The 21,329-nt window shown below is 35.2% G+C and overlaps 1 protein-coding gene across 3 annotated transcripts in view; it reads left to right on the top strand.

Moving 5' to 3' along the window:
* Positions 1-21,329, top strand: part of ELP4 (elongator acetyltransferase complex subunit 4) — a 280,558-nt gene that overhangs the window by 11,029 nt on the left and 248,200 nt on the right. For all 3 annotated transcript variants that reach the window (NM_001288725.2, NM_001288726.2, NM_019040.5), the window contains exon 3: positions 18,867-18,988. In NM_001288725.2, the coding sequence (NP_001275654.1) occupies positions 18,867-18,988 (122 nt within the window). The remainder of the gene's footprint in view (positions 1-18,866; positions 18,989-21,329) is intronic.

Genomic DNA, 21,329 nt, shown 5'->3' on the forward strand with positions numbered 1-21,329 from the left:
AAACTAAATGGACATCATTCCTTAACCTGGTTTTATATGTTAGGGTTTTCACACACCTCACTGTTCTGATTATTCTTTTTATGCACCTTCTAGTCTGGCATTCATTTTCTCCTGAATCATGCCCCGACCTAAATACAGTATTCCAAATGTAATATGACCTGAAATCACCATACTGGGACTATAAAATAAATATGTTAATCTAGACAGAGTTATTAGTACCAGGCACCAAAAAGGTTAGTTTCTATTTATTGACCCCTAAGGTAACAAAAAAAGTATTTTGGAAGAATTTTCCCCAAGAGTGAGTAAAATACAAAGTGGTGATGCTTAAAATTTGGCATGTACGTAAGAATTTGTCTAGTAAAGGAAAACGTTATATAGAACATTTTATTCCTCATCTATGCTGGATAATTAAAGAGTAATAATATTAGTAGTGAGAGCTGCCTTTTATTTAACTCTTACTGTTGGTCATACATTATGCAAAGTGCATTATGTTTTTTTTTTTTAGCTTAATACAACAACCTCAGAAGATACTAAATATACTTCATGTTATCTCCCTTTTATACATGAGGAAATGAGGCTCACAAGGATGGGGTAGTTTTCCCACTATTCCATAGTTAATCTGATAACCAGGACTTGAATTCTGTGTGATTCCAAAACCCATTTTTTTTGTAACTATGCTCTAAAGTTTTCTCACATGTTTTGTTTAATAGCAATAAACAGTAAAATAGGAATTACATCCCTTTTTAGATTATTGCAGTTTCAAGTAGTAAAGTAAAACTCACATTTATGGAGATTTTTTCTTTTAATGGATTTTCAAATTTCTCAACATGAAGGAATCCTTGATAAATTCATGCACAATAAGGATCAAAGTTGCAGCACTGTAAAAATCCTTATTTCACATGATCAGCATTTCTCCATTCCAGTCAAAAAGTTTTGTCTTTAAAATATAAATCAATATACAGGGAGTGGTTAAAAACATCTTCAGTTGTACAGTATTTGTTAGATCAGTTTATATAGTTGTAGCATATTGCTATTAAAAATGTAATATATTAGTTTACTTAAATTATGCCATTTAATCATTTTGGTCCTGTGTTCTCTCAACTCAGCCATTGATTTCCCTGTTGGCTCTTGGCTGTGAAGTACCTGCCAACTTCTTACCAGTCATTTACTTACATCAATACAATATAATCTTCTGGAAATTTGCCTAGAGTTTAGTGCCTGAGTATCCAGATAGTAGACAATTTTTAATAAAAGCTAAGTAAAATATGTCTTATGAGATACTTATGTCACCCATGAGTCATTAAAGTACTGTTTAAGACAGAATTATTCCTAACATTACATGTAAGAGAGAAAAATAACCTGTGATCAAGAAATTCTAGAAATGATTATCTCAGTTACATTTTTAAGACTATATCTTATGGTAAATAAAGAATGTCTGAAGGTGTCTATTGAGAAAATTATTTACATGTTTGGTATAAATACATAAAATACAAAACGGTGTGTAAAGAAAATTAGGTTGCTTTTTCGGATCCTCAGCCTCCGTTCCTTGAAATTATAGTGTCCTGGGTATTCCACCCAAATATTGCCATGTAAGTAATATACATGGGAACATTTCACACCTTGCTTTATCTATTTAATACATCTTAGACCTCAATTTATGTACATTTATATAGATGTACTACTTCATTTTTGTTAACAACTGCATAGGATTTGATTATATAGATGTGCCATAATTTATTGTAATAGTTCTCTACTGAAAAATTTAAATTAATTCCATCTTTTTCTATTACTAACAATGCTATTGTGCATAATCTTGTGTATAACCTTTGCACACATATGTAAATATTCTAGAATAAACTGTAAGATATAGACTTGCTTCATTGCAGCATGTTAAATTTTGTAGCTATTATTAGATTGCTCTCCCAAAAGGTTATACTGTCATATGCTTCAGCCAACAATTATATCAGTTCACCCTAATCTCACCCTTGACAACACTTGTATGTTATCAAACATTTTAATATTTACCAGTCCAATTAGATTAGATTAGCAGATGAAGTTCTCCACTTTTTTTTTTTTTTTTTAAGAGATGAGTCTTGCTCTGTTTCCCAAGGTGGACTGCAACAGCATGATCGTAGCTCACTGCAGCCTCCAACTCCTGGGCTTAAGTAGTCCTCCCTTCTCAGTCTCCTGAGTAGCTGGGACAGCACTCACACCACCATGCCCTGCTAATTTTTTATTTATTAATTTTTTTTTTTTTGGTAGAGATAGGGCCTTGTTATACTGCCCAGGCTGTTCTTAAACTTCAGGCCTCAAGCAGTCCTCCTGCCTCAGCCCGCAGAGTGCTGGGATGATTGGTGTGAGCCACTGCATCTGGCCCCAGTTCTCTACTTTTCTTCATTCCCAAGTCTATGTGACTTGTACAATGAATTAAATCCACTTGAAGATATGGAAGCATAGTTTCAAAATATAAAAATACAAGGATTTTAGTTCAGTGTTTAGGAGCCTATGGTATTACTATATTGCTCATCACTGAAAAACTTTAAATTCCAGAAGTAAGAGAAAATTAAAACATGAAGATTATTTACATTAATAACATTTTACTATAGATTTCCAACTTTTTAACCATTTTCTCGTGAAATAGTTTATTCATTTACCAAGGCAGTTTTATGTAGAAGCATACCTGTGCATGAGTGTGGGCTTTCAGAGTACTGTATTTACAGCTTCAGTAGCAATTTAACTATGGAAACTAGAGCTAATGAGCACTGCCAGAAAAACCTAAAATAAGTCCACTCTAGACCTTCTGAATATAGCAAAATAAATACATGTGAACAGATGAAAGGAAATTCTCTGAGGAATAAATTGAAGAACTAAGGGACCCCACTGTGTACTTTAAAAATTTAAGATGGTTGTCAATTAATAAAATCAAAAATTGATTTTAAAATCAAAGGTAAAATTTGATTTTAAAATCAAAGATAGATTTTTCTTAAAATGTTTAATGCTTAAGTACTGGAATAGGCTTTGAGATGTTTTATCTATATTACTTTCTGACAGTCTGTTACATTGGTAAATTTGGAACACCTTAAAAGTTTCAAAAGTTAATTGATAGCATAAATATTTAGAGTTTACACAGTCTCTTTAAATAAAGGATCTTTATTTGTAAAGATACTGAGCATCAAAAAGGTTTAATAGAAGTTGTCACCTATTAAAATAATAGGTGACATTTATCAATGTGTTTTTTTAAAATAATCTTTTACATTAATTATGTAATTTTAGTTCTAGATATGGGAGATAAATGATACACTTTTGGATAATTAAACCTATTATCAGTGTACTTTTATATTACTTTTTTCTGTGTAACAATATTAACACAAATTTTACAGTTTATAAACAACATAGATTTATTTATCTCATAGTTTCTGTAGGTCAGGAATCTAAGCACACTCCCACGGAGTCCTCAGCAAGCCTACAATATAGGTGTCAGCCAGGGCTGAGTTCTCATCTGAAGGCTTGACAAGGGAACTATCTGCTTTCAAGCTCGTGGTTGTTTACAACATTCAGCTCCTTGCTGATTGGCAGCCAGAGGCTGCCCTCTCCATAGGGCATCTCACAAGATGGTGTCTTATTCCTTCAAAACCAAGAAGAGAGAATGTCCCTCAGCAAAATGTTATAGGTTTTCATAACAGAAATGACATCCCATCATCTTTGCCATAATCTCTTGGTTAGAAGCAAGTTCCACATTCTGCTGCAATCAAGGGGAAGAGATACACAAAGGCATGAATACCAGGAGACAGGAATCATAGGGACCACCTTAGAATGTGTTCACCACACTTTTCATAATTTTAAATCATATTATTTCCTGTAATAGCAAAAACTAAGCACTCTTAATAGTCCTCACAGAATATTATAGTATTTCTTGTCAGTCATCTTCAACCTTTCTGAATTTGCTAAGCTATATTATTCTTCTACATCATGCAATAAATTCTGAGCTAACCAGCCTGGGCAACATGGCAAAACCCTGTTTCTACAAAAAAATACAAAAATTAACTGGGTGTGGTGGCATGTACCTGTAGTCCCAGCTACTCAGGAGGCTGAGGTGGGAGGAGTGATTGAGCAAAGGAGGTTAAAGCTGCAGTGATCATGCCACTGGACTCCAGCCTGGGTGATAGAGCGAAACCCTGTCTCAAAAAGAAATTAAAAATTCTGAGCTTTTTTCTATGCAGGAATTGGCCTGCTAGCTGGTCACCTATTTTTGTAAATAAAATTTTATTAGAATACAGCCGTGCTTATTCATGTGCACATTGTCTACAGCTTCTTTTGTGCCACAAGTACAGTGTTGATTAGTTGTAACAGAAACTGTATGAATCACAAGGCCTAAAATACTTGCTTTCTGATTCCTTAAGAAAAATTTTGCCAATCGCTGTTTTGTGTTACTATATTTGATATTCTACTAAACTTACTTTAGAGTAGTAGAACTTTGTTAAAGGACTGAAATAGGACAACTGATATCAGTGCAGTCCTTTAGTAGAACCACCTGATCTTTAGTCCTGAAGCATTTAAGCTCTTACAATGTGTTCAGCACTGTTAGGCAAGATAAATCTCTGGATATTGGTTGCATATGGAATAACCATGAACAGTACATATATAACATGCCGATATAAGGAGTATGAAAAAGACTTAAATTGAATCAAAGTATGGGTAGAAAGGAGTGATGAAGAAAAAAAATTGCTCATATGGAAAACAATCAGTACACAATAGAGGATATCAACAGAGTATGCCTATGTAATAACTAGGTCCTTCTAAAGTAGAGAGAGTACATATTTAGGACTAGTGAGAAGGTAAGTTTGGCCTTCTTCCCCTGGATCTCTTGCTTCAACTACCTACTTGGAGAATTCACACTGTAAGGCTTAAGGACCCTTATACCAGTCCCCAGAACAATAGTGTGTAAAGACTAGGCTGTATACCTGTAATCCACTCCTAGGATTTTTGTTTGTTTAACTTTATGGCCAGCCAAATCTATCATGCTTTACCTCCTCGTTATCTTTGGTCATTATCTAAAACCAAATTAAGACCAAATCTAATTAAGCTGTTCCAATGGTCTGGTCTTTTATCTCTATAATACTCCGTATTTTTCTCTTTAAACTCAGTTTCCTATTTCCTTCTCTTCCAGACCTTTCCAGTTTGCCCTCTATAACACCTATTTCATGTAAAATAAACTCTGATATCCTAAAATCTTATCCTTAAATATTTTATTGAAACATTTAACATTTATTGAGGATGTACTGTGTGCTGGGCATCATGCTAAGCCATTGACATGTATTGTATCATGTAATTTCACAACAATGAGAGGAAGTGTCTTTATTTTATAGGTAATGAAATTGAAGCTTTGAGAGAAGCTAAGTAACTTGCCCAAGATCACATATATGGTAGCTGAGATTCACAATCAAATTTCTCATTTTATACTAAAACATGATAACTTATCTTAAAAATCCCTTATGGGGCTGTTCCACCTTCTATATCGTCTCATTGCTGCCATATATTGACTTCTTAGTTATTTTTATTATTTATTGGAGACTATCCTGATCTCTAACGTCAAGTAGGCTTTCAACACTGGCCAGAAAACTTTTGTATAAATCTAGTCACCTCTTTTTTATTTTCAGTAATCTCAGTGGCCTTTTAAACCTTCAAACATCTAACATAGTATACTGCTATGAAGACATCAAACAAGATGTCTTCAAACATCTAACGTAGTATACTACTTTATCCTAATCCTCTGAAATAACTTACAGTTATGTCACACAGAAAAAAAATACAGTTTTATCAGAGGAGAATTCACCCAAGTTCCTAAAATCAATCCTCAAAACTTACCTCTATTCACAAATGCAGAGATATACTGTGCCTTCTCCTATTTGAGAATCATCTTTCATCTGTACTTTAAATTTCATCTCATTCTAACTTTCCAAGGACCTAGCAATATCAATTTCCCTTCTCTCCTTATCTTTAATCTCTTCCACTATATTAGTTATTTTCAATGTGTACTTTAACCATACTCAAATCTATTTTTAAGCTTTATTTAAAAACAAGGGGAAAAAAATCTTCCCTCTTAACCCTATCCCTTTCTCCACTATTGCTTTTTCTCTTCCCTTTCATAGTCAAGCCTTTTGTATAGTCTGTACTTACATGTTTTATAATATTTCAGTCATTCATCAATCTACCTCAAATACTACCATTTCACTGAAACCACCTTAATGACTTTCTCACTGCTAAACCTAGAGGATACTTGTCAGCCCTCTTCCTTTTTAATGTCTGTTGCACTTGATGTTGTTAATCACTCTTTTCTTGAAGTACTCCCTTCCTTTCTTCTTTTGTAACATTCTGTTCTGATTTTCCCTCTCATTCTGCTTATGTTTTTAAAGATTCCTTTGGCTTTATTTCAAATGATGGTATCCTATTCCCTCTTCTAGTGCTACATATTCTCCTGAAAGGTCTCAGTCCCTGCCATAACTAGAATGAACAGGGAATAAAAATAATCAGTAATCTCCAGACATCGCTACATATATAGGATACATAGAGAAATGCAGAGAGCATATTTAACCCCCTATTCAACATTTCCTCCTAAATATCTTATAGACATCTAAAATCAATGTGTTTGAAGCTTTCCCTACTTCCAAATTCTGCTCCATTCTTCTATATCTGTTTCTCTTCCTATGGACTCTGGATTATTGAATCTAACAGGTGACACATGCCAGAGACCTGAGTGATACGCTTGTCTCTCATACATCCAGAAAACATTAAATCCTAATGACTTTTATCCTTTAAATATTGTGTTAATTTTGTCTGTTCTTCATCTTTGCTGCCACTACCCCAATTCAGGCCATAATCAATAACCTCACTGAAACTGGCATAACAGGTATTTCCCTTGCCTCAGTTCATTATCATAATGTTGCCAGAATGCACTTTCTAATATGAGAAGCTAATCATAGTATATCTTGGCTTAAGACCTTTCTGTGCTCCTTGTTGATCTTAACATAAGATCTAAGCTCCTTAACTTCTGACTATAAGGCCTTTAACAATCTGCCACTGCTGATTCACTTTAGCCTTCTCTCTTCTCATCCTCTCACTATTCTTCCTCATACTTTGTGTTTATCATTCTGAGCTTTTAATTCCATTCTCTCCTGTCTCTAGACCTTTGCTTATGTTCTTTCTTGCTGCCTTTTATTTTCCTCTTGTTTTTGAAGTCCCCAGTTAGACATCTCTTCCAGAAAGTTTTCCTTAACTACTGCTTTCCTTCCCTTTACCTACACTCAGTATTCCTTCTGTATACTTCTGTAGTAGTCTTTATTTACCTTATCATGGCACTTACTACACATTTTTTACATCAGGTAATCATGAAATTGCCTGATCGTGATTACTTATTTAATAGACTGTAAACTCTATAACCATGGGAGCCATGTAGGAGCATAATGAATAAATGAGTGATTTGAAAGCCTGGGTAAAGGCAATTAAATTATATTGGTAAGAAATAGATAGTCATGGAGTGTTTTGAGCAATTAAGAAATATTATGATGGATACACTGCAGAAATAAAGTAAAATTTGAAGTAATGGAAACTCCTCATTGCCCTAATCTAAACATGAGGTGATGTTTGTTACTATACTTTTAAGACTTTTGTCATAAATTTGCTATTTTACTTTTCTACTTCTGTATTTCAGTATGTATATTAGATTCTAAATGTTTAACGGGTTATGCTTAGACTGCTCTGATATGAAACACCATTTTTCTACATATTTCCTCATTTAATAGGTACCTCTTAAGAAAGCCAATTTCTATTTCTGTGCTATATACATGTGTAGGTGATGAAGGAGAGACAGAAAGTAGGATGATTCCCAGATTTTTATCCTGGGAAAGTTTAGAATTAGTACCATTAAGTGAAGTTAGAAAAGGAAAAGAATGAGCAAATATTGAGGTGAGGTAAATAATTCAGTTTAAACATAATGACTTTTAGGTACTAGTGAAAAACCCAAGGCATTCAACCTAATAGAAAGTTGGATTTTCTGGCATGAAATTTAGGCTAGAGAAAAAGATTTAGGATTTTTCAACATTATTTAACTGTTTTATTCAGTGTGTGTTTTAGTGTTGTCATAGACAAATGGCAGATTGCCCAGGTTTATACTTGTGGATCCGGAATGGAACTTTGGGAGATCTCTTAACTCCCTGAAATTACATGAAAATTTGTGTTTGGCTATGTGTATATATATATATATATTTGCAGTGAGTCAATATGCCACTGCACTCCAGCCTGCGTGAGAGTGAGACTCCGTCTGAAAAAAAAAAAAAAAGTTATTATGAGGATTAAATAAACCAATGCATGAGAAGTGCAGTGCAGTGTTTAGTATAGAGTTAGTGCTCAATAATATTAGCTATTTGCTGTTTTTTAACCACATGTTGAGTACCCTAGAATTGGTGAGTTCTCACATACCCACAGTGAGAAAAAGAAGACAAGGTCTTAAGTTTTCCCTTTCCCACAATTGGGGTCAGCCACCTCCTGGCAGGCCCAAAGAACTAGCACAGATACTTCCTCATATCTCCACCACCGTCACTGCTGTTACCAGGCAATAAAGTCAAGGACTGGAGAAAGCAGGAGTACAACATTTATGGTAAAAAGTGAGGCAAGTGAGGGGATACAACTCCAAGGGCATCAGTCGTAGACATTGAAGTTGCTTTCAAGAAGCAGAACTTGACATTCCTGTTTCCCAGCCAATTCCCTGCTAACCTCTAGAACCTGCAAGCCCATCAAATTAAATAGTGCAGGAAGAGAGTTATTGGGAAAGCCTGCTTTATATCTGCTGGATTTTGTCAACATTCTCAAACATTAAGACTATTACCTGTTTCTCATATAGGAAAAGGAGGGGGGCCTGCTAGAATAGATTGTGTAAACAAACACAGCTAGAAGAATAATGACAGTAATAGTATTTCCAAAGAGAGACTGAGGATGAATTAGTGGCCCCAAAAACACTAGATTCTACCTCTTTGAGGGGTTCTTCAGTGACATATAGGGCCAGAATGAAGTAAGGTACCACCCACAAACCACACTTAACATCTGCATGGAAACCACCTAATTTTAGAGGGTATAAGCAGCAGACTTAATACAACAGGTCAGAGTGAGGCTAGGGACATCTCTCTACCTGTGCCAGACAGGCAATTACAGAAACTGATCTCTGCCACTCTTCTTTTTCTTACTTTCCCAGTATAGGAGCTAGGACTTGAAGAAAAGACTTGTAGGAAGAGGTATCTTAGAACTTCCTTTTCTCACTGCTGCCCCCTCCACTTAACACCGCCTTACTAAGTATTTCAAGTCACAAGCCTTAGTGGAAAATGTTGTAATTGACTATTGACTAAGTTTTTAACTGGACAGTTCCAAGTTTTAATAACTGAAACTAGTGAGAATCATGGAAGCAGCTCCGGATATCATTAAAAGATGAGAAAAGGAAGATTTGGCTTGCATAGCTGAAAGTAGTGACTAGCAAAAAGTACATAAAATCATTTCATATGTACGTAACAAAAACTTGAGAGCTCTATATAAACTGTTTACGTACACAAAGAATGGCTAAAGAAACAGGAGAAAAGTTATAAAAACTGGGAAAAGGTGGGGAGGGAGTGTACAGTAGTTTCATGAAGAAAGTTGTCAATGGTAATAGTTCCCATAAATAAATAAGGTAAGGATTTACAAATATCCAACAAATTAGACAATTATAAAATAATTGGTGTTGGAGAGCAGTCTTGGTGGAGTGATGATACAGCTCATTTGGATTTTTGTATTAAGAAAAAAATGATATTCCTGTTGTTTCTATCCACTAGGCTTTGTTCCACCCCTTGGAGCCATAATGTACAAATGAAATTCCATTTCCGTTTTATAGTCCAACAGATATTTGAAGACAGCTATCTTATGTCTCTCGGGTCTCTTTCTTTAAGCTAAATATTTCCATTTCTCATTGTCACATACTTTCAGCTCCCTTCACCATCACTGTTTTTGAAGATGCTTTAGTTTGTGTAAGTCCCCAAACTGAATATATTATCATCAGGTTGGTTGACTACTGTGGAATAGAACAGGACAAGCATCTTTCTGAACCTAGAAATTAGACTGTTAATTCAGACCAAAATTACATTTGCTTTTTGGCAGTTCTGTCACATCATTATCATTTTTACTTGCCCAGTGTTATGGGGATTCACTAAATAGATTAATTAAATGCTTATTGTACAACCTCAAAATTTGTTTCACAAAATTGGTAATTTTCAGCTTGATGAGTTTAGTGTTTTTGCTAATCCCTAAGTAGGTGATCTCCCTATTAGTTTTTCCTGCCTCATATGATTCTTTGAAAAAACAGAAGTGATAACTATTATAGAATATATGTGTATATGTGTATAAAATGGTGTGTTTTCAAACTATAGTAGATGTGGATGATTTATAAGACAAGATCGATTTTTGTTTGTTGTTTTTTCCTCTAATTAATTCTACAAATATTAAGTATATGTATACTATGTGCCGGGCACTAGAGATACAATAATAGGATGCATTCTCTGCCATAATAATCTTTTAGCTTCATGGAGGAATTTCAGGAATGTTTATTAAATACTACTAGGGGTTAAGAGGGTGCTCCAGAGCACACTGATATCTTACCCAGCCTTGAGTAAAGCTTCTTAATAATGGTGCCACCTAATCTTGGTCTGGAAGGAGGTGAGCAAATTAGTTAGCCAGAGTTGTGAAGGAATTTATACAAGGGTCCTGAGGCAAGGAGCAATATGGGTGGTGCTAACAAGTAGTTTGCTATCCCTGGAATTTATGAAATATGGAAGGGGGAATGTATTGGGAAAGAAGGCAATACAACATTTAAAGAGGCTTATATGGCTTGCTTTTTGGGTGTTTTTCGACTGAGAGCAATGAAAAGCCATTTAAGTTTTTGAAACGGGAGTGACAAGATTAGATTTGCTCTTTAGAAAAATATACTCTTGAGTAATGTGGAGAATAGATTGGAGGGAGGAGTAAGGTTAGAGATACAGGGACCAATTGGGAGGCTGATAGTGAGAGGTAAGGATGAATTGAACTACATTATTGTCAGTAAAGATGGAAGGAAGTGGATGGATTTTAAAGATTTAGGAAGTTAAAGCCGTGATTATTTGTGGGGATAAAAAGGAAAGGGAAGAGCTGAGAATGAAAACCATAGTAGCTAACATTTATTGACCACTTAACTACGCACAAGGCACTGATTTAAGTATTTAAATCTTGCCACAGTCTTATGAGGTAGGTATAATTTTATTATTCCTATATCATAGTTGAAGAAACCTCAAGCCCAAAGGAAATGGTTACCAAATAACTTAACGAATTAGCATGTTACCACCAGAAGATGGGCAGCAAGGAAGAGGAAAAAATACAGTTTCCCATTTGGACATGTCATGAAATTCTGTTGGCACATTGAAGTAAAGATAAGATAACATAAAACATGTTTGCTAAGTACTATGTCTAGTTAACAATATGCAAATAAATAGCATGATGTCAATGCCTGGAGCTTAGCACGGAGAAAGCTGAGCTAGAGATAAAGAAAAGATCACTAAGGATAGTATGGGGAGCAAGAAAAAAGTCAGAACCCTCACTCATTTAAGAGATAGGTAGAAAAAGACAACTGTGACATCTAGTTTGTTTATTATCCTTCATTACTCATAAATCACTCAGTTTTTTTAATTATCTACGAGTACATATCCCTACTTTAAGTAGTACTGATCTGATATAGTTCATTCTCTTAGTTGAGTATTGTAATATGCATCCGTAACTTTATGAAAGTTTTAATTCTTCTAATTAAATAGTTTAGGTTTCTTTCTCTCATTACTAAAAAGTTGTTAAACAACAGTCATGTATATTTTATTTTTATTTTTTAATTTTTATGTTCTCAGGGTGTACAAGTACAGATTTCTTTTTTTTGTTGGTTTTTTTTTTTTTTTTTTGAAATGGAGTTTTGCTCTCGTTGCCCAGGCTGGAGTGCAATGGTGTGATCTCGGCTCATTGTAACCTCTGCCTTCCGGATTTAAGCAATTCTCCTGCCTCAGCCTCCCAAGTAGCTGAGATTACAGGCGTGCACCACCACGCCTGGCTAATTTTGTATTTTTTTAGTAGAGACAGGGTTTCATCATGTTGGTGGTCAGGATGGTCTCAAACTCCTGATCTCAGGTGATCCACCCGCCTTGGCCTCCCAAAGTGCTGGGATTACAGGCATGAGCCACTGTGCCCGGCCACAAGTACAGATTTTTTACATGCATATATTGCACAGTGGTGAAGTCTGGCTTCTTCATGTTATCACCCAAATGGTGAGCATTGTACCCAATAGGTAGTTTTTAAACCTTTACCCCCTTACCACTCTTCCACCTTTTGTAGTCTCCACTGTCTGTTATTCCACTCTGTATGTCCATGTAGCTGTTGTCATTTATAAGTAAAAACGTGTGGTATTTGGTTTTCTGTTTCTGAGTTATTTCATTTAGGATAATGGCCTCCAGTTTCATCCGTGTTGCTGCAAAAGCCATCTCATTCTTTTTTTTTTTTTTTTTTTTTTTTTTTGTGACAGAGTCTCGCTCTTTCGCCCAGGCCAGACTGCAGTGGCGCTATCTCGGCTCACTGCAAGCTCCGCCTCCCGAGTTAACGCCATTCTCCTGCCTCAGCCTGCCAAGTAGCTGGGACTACATGCGCCGGCCATCAAGCCCGGCTAATTTTTTTTTTCTTTTTGTATTTTTTAGTAGAGACGGGGTTTCACCGTGTTAGCCAGGATGGTCTCGATCTCCTGACCTCGTGATCCGCCCGCCTTGGCCTCCCAAAGTGCTGGGATTACAGGCATGAGCCACCGCGCCCGGCCTGAAAAGTTTTAAGTAGGGAAATGAGATCATCAGGTTTGCATTTTGAAAATGTTACTACTAAATTGAAGGAGGAGGATTAGGGTGAATGCAAAGAAATAAGAGACAGTTACAGTCATTTAGGTAAGAGTTTTTTTTGTTTTTGTTTTGTTTTGTTTTGTTTTGTTTGAGACGGAGTCTCACTCTGTCGCCCAGGCTGGAGTGCAGTGGAGCGATCTCGGCTCACTGCAAGCTCCTCCTCCCGGGTTCACGCCATTCTCCTGGCACAGCCTCCCGAGTAGCTGGGACTACAGGCTCCCGCCACCACGCCCAGCTAATGTTTTTGTATTTTTTACTAGAGACGGGTTTCACCATGTTAGCCAGGATGGTCTCGATCTCCTGACCTCGTGATCCGCCCGCCTCGGCCTCCCAAAGTGCTGAGATTACAGGCGTGAGCCACGGTACCCGGCCAGTTAAGAGTTGTTAGTAGTATGACTCGTGGAATGACATTAGCATGGAGGAAGTAATCAAATCCCACAAATACTTTGATACTTTGCTAATACGTTTCACTGGATTATAAGGATGGGGAGAGAGGTGGATTGGTGTGTGTGTGTGTGTGTGTGTGTGTATGAGAGCGAGAGAGAGAGAAAGAGGAGATATTGGGGATAAATTCTGGCTTTCTGAAAACTGAAAGAGGGCCACATTTGGTGCAAGAAAATGAGTTACTGGGTTTCATCTTGGGCATGTTGGACCTGAAGCATCCTTATTCTTCTATATTTAGTACCAATAAAACCCTAAAAGCTGCATGAAAAGTCCATGGTAAGGGGGTATAGCTATGTAATGTATGTATGGTTCATAAGTTTTCTAGAATATTATTCAGCCTTAAACATGTTAGCTACAAGACTATAAAGCATGTTAGATTAAGTGAAAAAAGTAGGATACCAAATCCAGTAATCACTGAAAACATAGAAAAAGTACTGAAAGGAAATAGAGCAAACTTTAAGCAAGGATTATTTGAGGACTGTGGGTGAATTTTTTAAAATTTAAATTTTCCATTTTGTAAAAATATCAATCTTAGAAATTAAAAATTTTAATGTCAGGTTTGTTTCTTATATCGATTTATAATGACCATGGTTTAAATGTTTGCTTCTCTAAACTGACTTAATAGTAATTACTTCAGGTAAAATCAATTATTTTTTAAACATGACTTTCTAGTTAGTTCCAAAGTTGAGTGAAGGTGAATTCTTAGTTATACAAAGTAAGCAATTTTTCCAGTGTTACAGCTGTATTAATCAGTAGTCAGTGCTGATCATCTCTCCCATAGTTGTCTCTGCTAGCTTTTCCATCTGTCAGCTGTAAGCAATGCAGAAGCATTGAAAACATTTTCCTTTGCCGTAACACACTAAAATTCTCATAAAATGTCCCTAAATCATTAAGTACATTTTGTGAGTGACAAATAATGTTAAAGAACTAGCTATGTGTTTTAATATATAAAATTAGACTTTGTGTAAATTGACCATACTTTTAATCATGGATTTTCTCTAAGATAATGTGCTAAGAAGGTATCTAAACAACTCACCACCTGATATTTTGGTCATACTTTAGGGAATTGTTTTAATAAATAAATGTTATTGAATTTTAATTTATATACAATAAAATGCACCCATTTGTTTATTTATTTTATTGAATTATTTTTGAGCCAGGTTCTCGTTCTGTTCCCCAGGCTGGAGCGCAGTGGTACAATCATGGCTCACTGCATCCTGGAGCTCTTGGGGCCAAGGGATCCTCCCACCTCAGCCTCCCAAGTAGCTAGGACTACCAGTGCACACCACCACACCCAGCTAATTTTTTATTATTTTTTGTAGAGCTGAGGTATCACTGTATTGCTCAGGCTTGTCTCAAACTCCTCGCCTCAAAGTGACCCTGCCATCTTGGCCTCCCAAAGCATGAGGATTACAGAAGCGAGTGACTGTGCCAAGCACATTTACTTATTTTAGTGACTTTTTACGACTGTATATACTCATGCAGCCACCACCACAATCAAGATATAAAACACTTCTGTCACCATAAAGTGTTTCCTGGTGCTCAGTTTCCTGGCCCCAAGCACCTAACCTCTCCTTTCTGTCATTAGAGATTAATTTTGCTTTCTATAGAATATCGTGTAACTGCAGTTTTGCCATATGTGCTTTTTTTGTATCTGGCTTTTTTCCACTTAGCATAATGTTTTTTGAGATTTACCCATGTTGTTGCATGTATAGTCAGGCCTCTGTATTAGCATGTACCACATCCTTGGATACAGAGGGCAAAATGTAAGGTACTAAGCATCCTTGGATTTTGGTATTCATGGAGTATCCTAGATATCCAATCCTGGATGTCCTTGGTACCCAGTCCCCTGTGGATACCAAGAAACTACTGCAAATTAGTAGTTTATTTCTTTTTATTGCTGAGTAGTAATCCATTTAGGAATATATCATTTGTTTTCTCCCTTCAGCAAGTAGTTGATGGACATTTTATTTGTTTTCAGTTTTTGGCTATTAAAAAAAAAAGCTGTCATAAACCTTCTGTATAAATCTATGCAGACATATATTTTCAACTCTCATGGGTAAGTACCCAAGAGTAGAATTCCTGGATCGTATAATAAGTGTTTGTTTAACTTTTTTGGAAACTGCCAAACTGTTTTTGTTTTGTTTTGTTCTGATTTGTTTGAGACGGCGTCTTGCTCTGTCACCCAGGCTGGAGTGCAGTGGCGTAATCTCGGCTCACTGCAACCTCCACTTCCCAGGTTCAAGCAATTCTCCTGCCTCAGCCTCCTGAGTAGCTGGGATTATACGCATGTGCAAGCATTCCCAGGTAATTTTTGTGTTTTTAGTAAAGGCGGGATTTCGCTATGTTGGCCAGGCTAGTCTCCAACTCCTGACCTCAAGCAATCCACTTGCCTCGGCCTCTCAAAGCATGGGGATTACAGACATGAGCCACCGCATCTGGTCTGCCAAACTGTTTTCTAATGTAGTTATAGTGTTTTGCATTGCAACTAACAATGTTGGAGCATTTTATTTGCTCCACATACTTGTCAGTTGAACATCTTTTAATATGTTTTTTGGCCATTCATGTATCTTTTTTTGTAAAGCATGTGTTCACATCTTTTGCTCATTTTTATGTTGCCCAGTTTGTGTTCTTACTGCATTATGAAAGTTGCTAAAATATATTCTGGATACCAGTCCTCTACTATGTATATGTATTGCAAATATCTTCTATCTGTAGTTTGCCTGTTTTAAATCTTCCTATTAGCTGTCTTTTCAAAGGTAAATTGTAAACATTTTTATGAAGTTTAATTTATTCATTTTTTTCTCCAGTTCATGCTTTCATGTCCTAAGAAACATTTGCCTACTCCAAGGTTGCAAAGAAGGCATTTTCTTCTAATAGTTTTAATTATTTCAGCTTTTTTGTTTAACTCTGTGATCCATTTCAAGCTAATATTTAGTACTAGTACAAGAGGTAAGATGGAGGTTTTTGCTGTTTTTTGATTGAGTGTACTATGAGGCAAGATTGAAGTTTTTATCGCTTTTTGTTGTTTAAATATGGATATTCAGTTATTGCAGGACCATTTGTTACAAAAAAAATTATTTCTCCACCTTTGTCAAAAACCGATTGTATGGATTTATTTCTGGACTCTATTCTTTTCCACTGATATATATTTCTGTCCTTTTGCTAATTCCACATTACCTTGATTGCTGTAGCTTATAGTAAGTCTTGAAATAAAATGATAAGTTTTCCAACTGTGTTCTTTGTTCAGATTTCTTTGACTGTTGTATTAGTCCCTTCTCGCACTGCTCTAAAGAAATAATTGAGACTGGGTAATTTGTAAAGAAAATAGGTTTAATTGGCTCATGGTTCTGCAGGCCATACAGGAAGCATGGCTAGGTTAGAAAACTTAAAAGTCATGGCCAAAGGCAAAGGGGAGGCAGGCACATCTCACATGGCAGGAGCAGGAGGAAGAGAAAGAGTGGGGAGGTGCTACACACTTTTAAACAACCAGATCTCATGATAACTCACTATCATGAGAACGGCACCAAAGGGGAAATCCACCACCATGAACCAATCACCTCCCACCAGGCCCACCTCCAACACCGGGGACTACAATTTGACATGAGATTTGGGCAGGGACACAGACCCAAACCATATCACCTGTATTCTATGACCTTGGATTTCTTTGTAAATTTTAGAATTACCTTGTCAGTTTCTCCAAAAAGCTTACTGGAATTTTTATTGGGATTCCATTAAATCTACAGATCAGTTTGAAGATTTGAGTCTTCTATCCCATGAACATGATATATCTCTCCATTTATTTAGGTCTTCTATACTCTCAGAATGTTTTGTACTTTTCACTGTAGAACTAATTCATACACATATTTCGTTAAATTTATCCAAAATATTTAATTGCAGGTGGGATTTCTAAAATTTCAGTTCCTATTTTTGTTACTATTATGTAGAAGTACAATCAATATATTAGTGTAGTATAATTAGTATAGTATTAGTATAGTATAATTCTTTAAATACTTAAAGCCAAATCCAGTAATATGATATATATTACTATATAAAATATATTAATGCAATATAATTATAGAATTACAATTCTATATATTACAGTAATGACAATATAATTATAATTACTCTATTATATTGCATTACTATATAATAGTTATATAACTACAATATAATTATATTGTATTATGTATTATATACTTATATGATTATAATATATATAATTATTATAATTTTGTTTTAAATGCCATAAAACCAAAGCCAGTAACATTACACAGCTAAGACCTTCCATACGATATTGATTAGAAGTGATGAAAGTGAATATACCTCCATTTTTCCCGATCTCAGAAGAAAAGCATTGCATCTTATCATGTATGATGATACCTATAGGTTTTTTGTAGATCCCATGTGTCAAGTTGAAGATGTAATATTACTGGATTTGGTTTTACAGTATTTAAAACCAAATTATATTAATTATATCTAATATAAATGTATATTCTATTACCATATTTGGTTTTATGATATTTAAAGAATTATTTTCATATATTTTCACGAGGCATAGTCTGTAGCTTTCTGTTTCTGTTGTATCTTGTTCTATTTTGGTATTGGGGTAACACTGGCCTCATAAAATGAGTTTAGAAGTGTTTCATCCTTTCCTCTTTTCTGAAAAGAGTACATGTGGGATTGGTATTATGACCTCCTAAAATTTGATAATGATGTGTAGTTTTGTAAAACTCTTTGATTTTGATGTTAGAGTAATGATGGGCCTATAAAGTGGGAATTGTTTCCTTTTCCTTTTTGCTGAGTTTAAGTATTGGTATTATTTTTTCCTTCAAATATTTAAATTTACTAGTGAAGTTCCCTATACCTGAAGTGTGTATGTATGTGCAGGGGGTAATTTTGTGGATATCAAAGTGATGTAGTAGTTGGAGAATGATGTCTGGAACCAGAAAGTCTATTAAAAGTACCTAGTTCTGGCCGGGCGCGGTGGCTTACGCCTGTAATCCCAGCACTTTGAGAGGCCAAGGCGGGCAGATCACGAGGTCAGGAGATCGAGACCATCCTGGCTAACACAGTGAAACCCTGTGTCTACTAAAAATACAGAAAAATTAGCCGGGCCTGGTGGCAGGCGCCTGCTACTCGGGAGGCTGAGGCAGGAGAATGGCGTGAACCCAGGCAGAGCTTGCAGTGAGCCGAGATTGCGCCACTGCACCTCCAGCCTGGGCGACAGAACGAGACTCCGTCTCAAAAAAAAAGTGCCTAGTTCTCATTGACTCTCTTTACAAGTCTCTTAGCCTATCTATCTATGCCTCAGGAATACGCAGTTTTTGTTCCACCTCATATACTTGTTTTAAGGAAAAAAAATATAAAAACATATGAGTGTGCTTGCTGTTTGATAGCCATTTGATTCTTTTCTTGCTATATGTTTCTAACTGCAACTTTTCCTTTTTACAGAGGAGGATAAATATAATATTTACTCACCTTTGCTCTTCAAGTATTTCCTGGCAGAAGGAATTGTCAATGGGCATACTTTGTTGGTTGCATCTGCTAAAGAGGATCCTGCCAACATTTTACAGGTATAGAATATATGAACTTAATATTGCATTTTGAATGTTTCATGAAAAAATATTGTTTATATATGTAAACAAGATATATGTTTGTATATATACAAACTATATTTAAATGCATTAACGGAACCATACATTTTTTAAAATCTCAGTAAAAAGTATCAAATTTATTTGAACATAGGATTACATTTTAAACTAATGTTTTTGAACAAATTTTTTAAAGTTCATATGAGAGTTGGGGAAATATTAAGCTACTAAAAACTGACACTAAATAAAATTACTAGACCAGGCATTCACAAAAGTCATGCTTAATAGCAAAAAATTCTAGTTTACACTTCTTATTGAAGAAAGGGGAAAAACATCCTTTAATTTTTTGCTTCTAATTATAACATCTTCATTTTGACTACTATGGCAAAGCAAATTTTCCAAAGTCTAAGCTTTTCTATACTACTAACAAAGTATCACTTAACTGTTACTCTTAAGAAGTCCTTAAAAGAAACTTGAAATTTGAATTTTCAGCCTGAAACTGTTAGATAAAGTATATGAGTTACAGCAAATAATGGAATAAAAACAAAAGGGACATCTATATAATCAGCAAATTGGCTGATAAGAATTTTAAATATTTTACATTTCTACTTAGCACAAGCAAAAATAAACTGATTCCAAGGCACTACAGTATTTGCCATTTTTACTGCAAGCTTTAGGCAATTTTTTTTCTTTTAATTTTGAAGAGATGAGGTCTCACTATGTTGCCAGACTGGTCTTGAATTCCTGGTCTCAAGGGATTCTCCCACCTGGGCCTCCCAAAGTTCTGGGATTACAGGCATCAGCCACCGCATCCAGCCTACTGCAAGCTTTAATCATAATTTCATTCTAAATGTATCTAAGGAAATTAAAATGTTCATACATATAAAAATTATTATATCTGATAGGTAATATTCTACACAGTCATGATAATAAGAGAATTCTGGAAAACATTAGATAAAGAAAACAACTGTAGATTGTTTGGTAATTATATTACCAGTATGCCAGAGGTATAAATCAGAAGAATCAGAAATTAGAAGTACTCATTGATTAATATTAGTTTTCTTGGAGAATGCCACAAATGATTCTCTTCTATGATAAAATATGTCATTGATGTACTGAATCTTTAAGCCAAAGCACACTTTTTCCCTCAGAGAGGACACTTTTAACTTTTAGAATTCTTAGTTTCTTTGTCCATAACAGAATCCTAATTTAAGACATTATTTGAATAGAGTTCATAATCTAAAGTCATTTTTCCATAGGATATTTTAATTTTAGTACATAGTTTGCAAAATGGCAAATTAGTCATTTATAAGGAATTTGTAACATAATAAATACTAATTCATAATACCTGTGAACAAATGCCAACAAACTTCTTTGCCTTAGTATAAAAGTCACTATAATGCTGAGGTCAAAACTAAAATAATTCGTTCATATGATTCAGACTTTGCTTGTTAAATAATATTGTTATGAAATCCAAAGCAGAAACCTGTATTTGATTGATTTTCCTCTGGTTGTAGGGCTTATTTTTTTCTCAATCTCTTTTGTAGTTGTTTACTTTTTACAATATTTCTTGGTGTTTTCTTTTGCTCTGTTTTCTGGCTTTTATCATCTTGGCCAACTTCTGGACAGTGCTACACTTGCTAGGAGCAGTGGAGTAAAGGCCAAAACCATTGTTGTAAGTAAGCTACACAGGTTCTTCATGACATATTCCACAATATACCGAGACTAAGATTTTATATCAAACATCTATATAGCCATCATAGGAAAATTTTGCCAGCCAGAAGCAGAAATGCCTGTATATGCTTTTGAAAATAAAGTTTTTTATTTTTATTTTTTCCTCTTTCAACCCAGGTAGCTGATGTTAAAAATTTGCACAGTTTGCTTTAGAGAACACATTAATTTCAAAACTAATCCCTGACATCTTTCTTAGGGGTGCCTTGAATTTGTACAAGTAAGTATTAAAAATCTTAGTGTACTTTACATATCCTTCTTTAGATTATGTGAAGGAGTTTGAAGCTATAAAAGAAATATTACCTTTTTCATCAAGCTTTTATAAAATAGCCAGTCATTTATGCAAGTAATTGGGTGTTGCAAAGACTTAGTCATACAATAATTTTATGATGTAGGAGAGTAAAATATAAAATATAAAACTACAGTTAAAAGCAAAACAGACTCTTAAAAAATACACCGTGTCTGACCAAGCTGCACATGTCTGACCAAGATAGATTAACAAGGTCCAGATTTCTCCTCATGCCTGAAATAGCTAAAAAACAAAAAACAAACATAAAAAGCAGCACAGGGTATAGGAAACAACAGTTTTCGA

The sequence above is a fragment of the Homo sapiens genome, chromosome 11 (genome assembly GCF_000001405.40).
Source record: "Homo sapiens chromosome 11, GRCh38.p14 Primary Assembly".
In the NCBI taxonomy this organism is placed as follows: domain Eukaryota; kingdom Metazoa; phylum Chordata; class Mammalia; order Primates; family Hominidae; genus Homo; species Homo sapiens.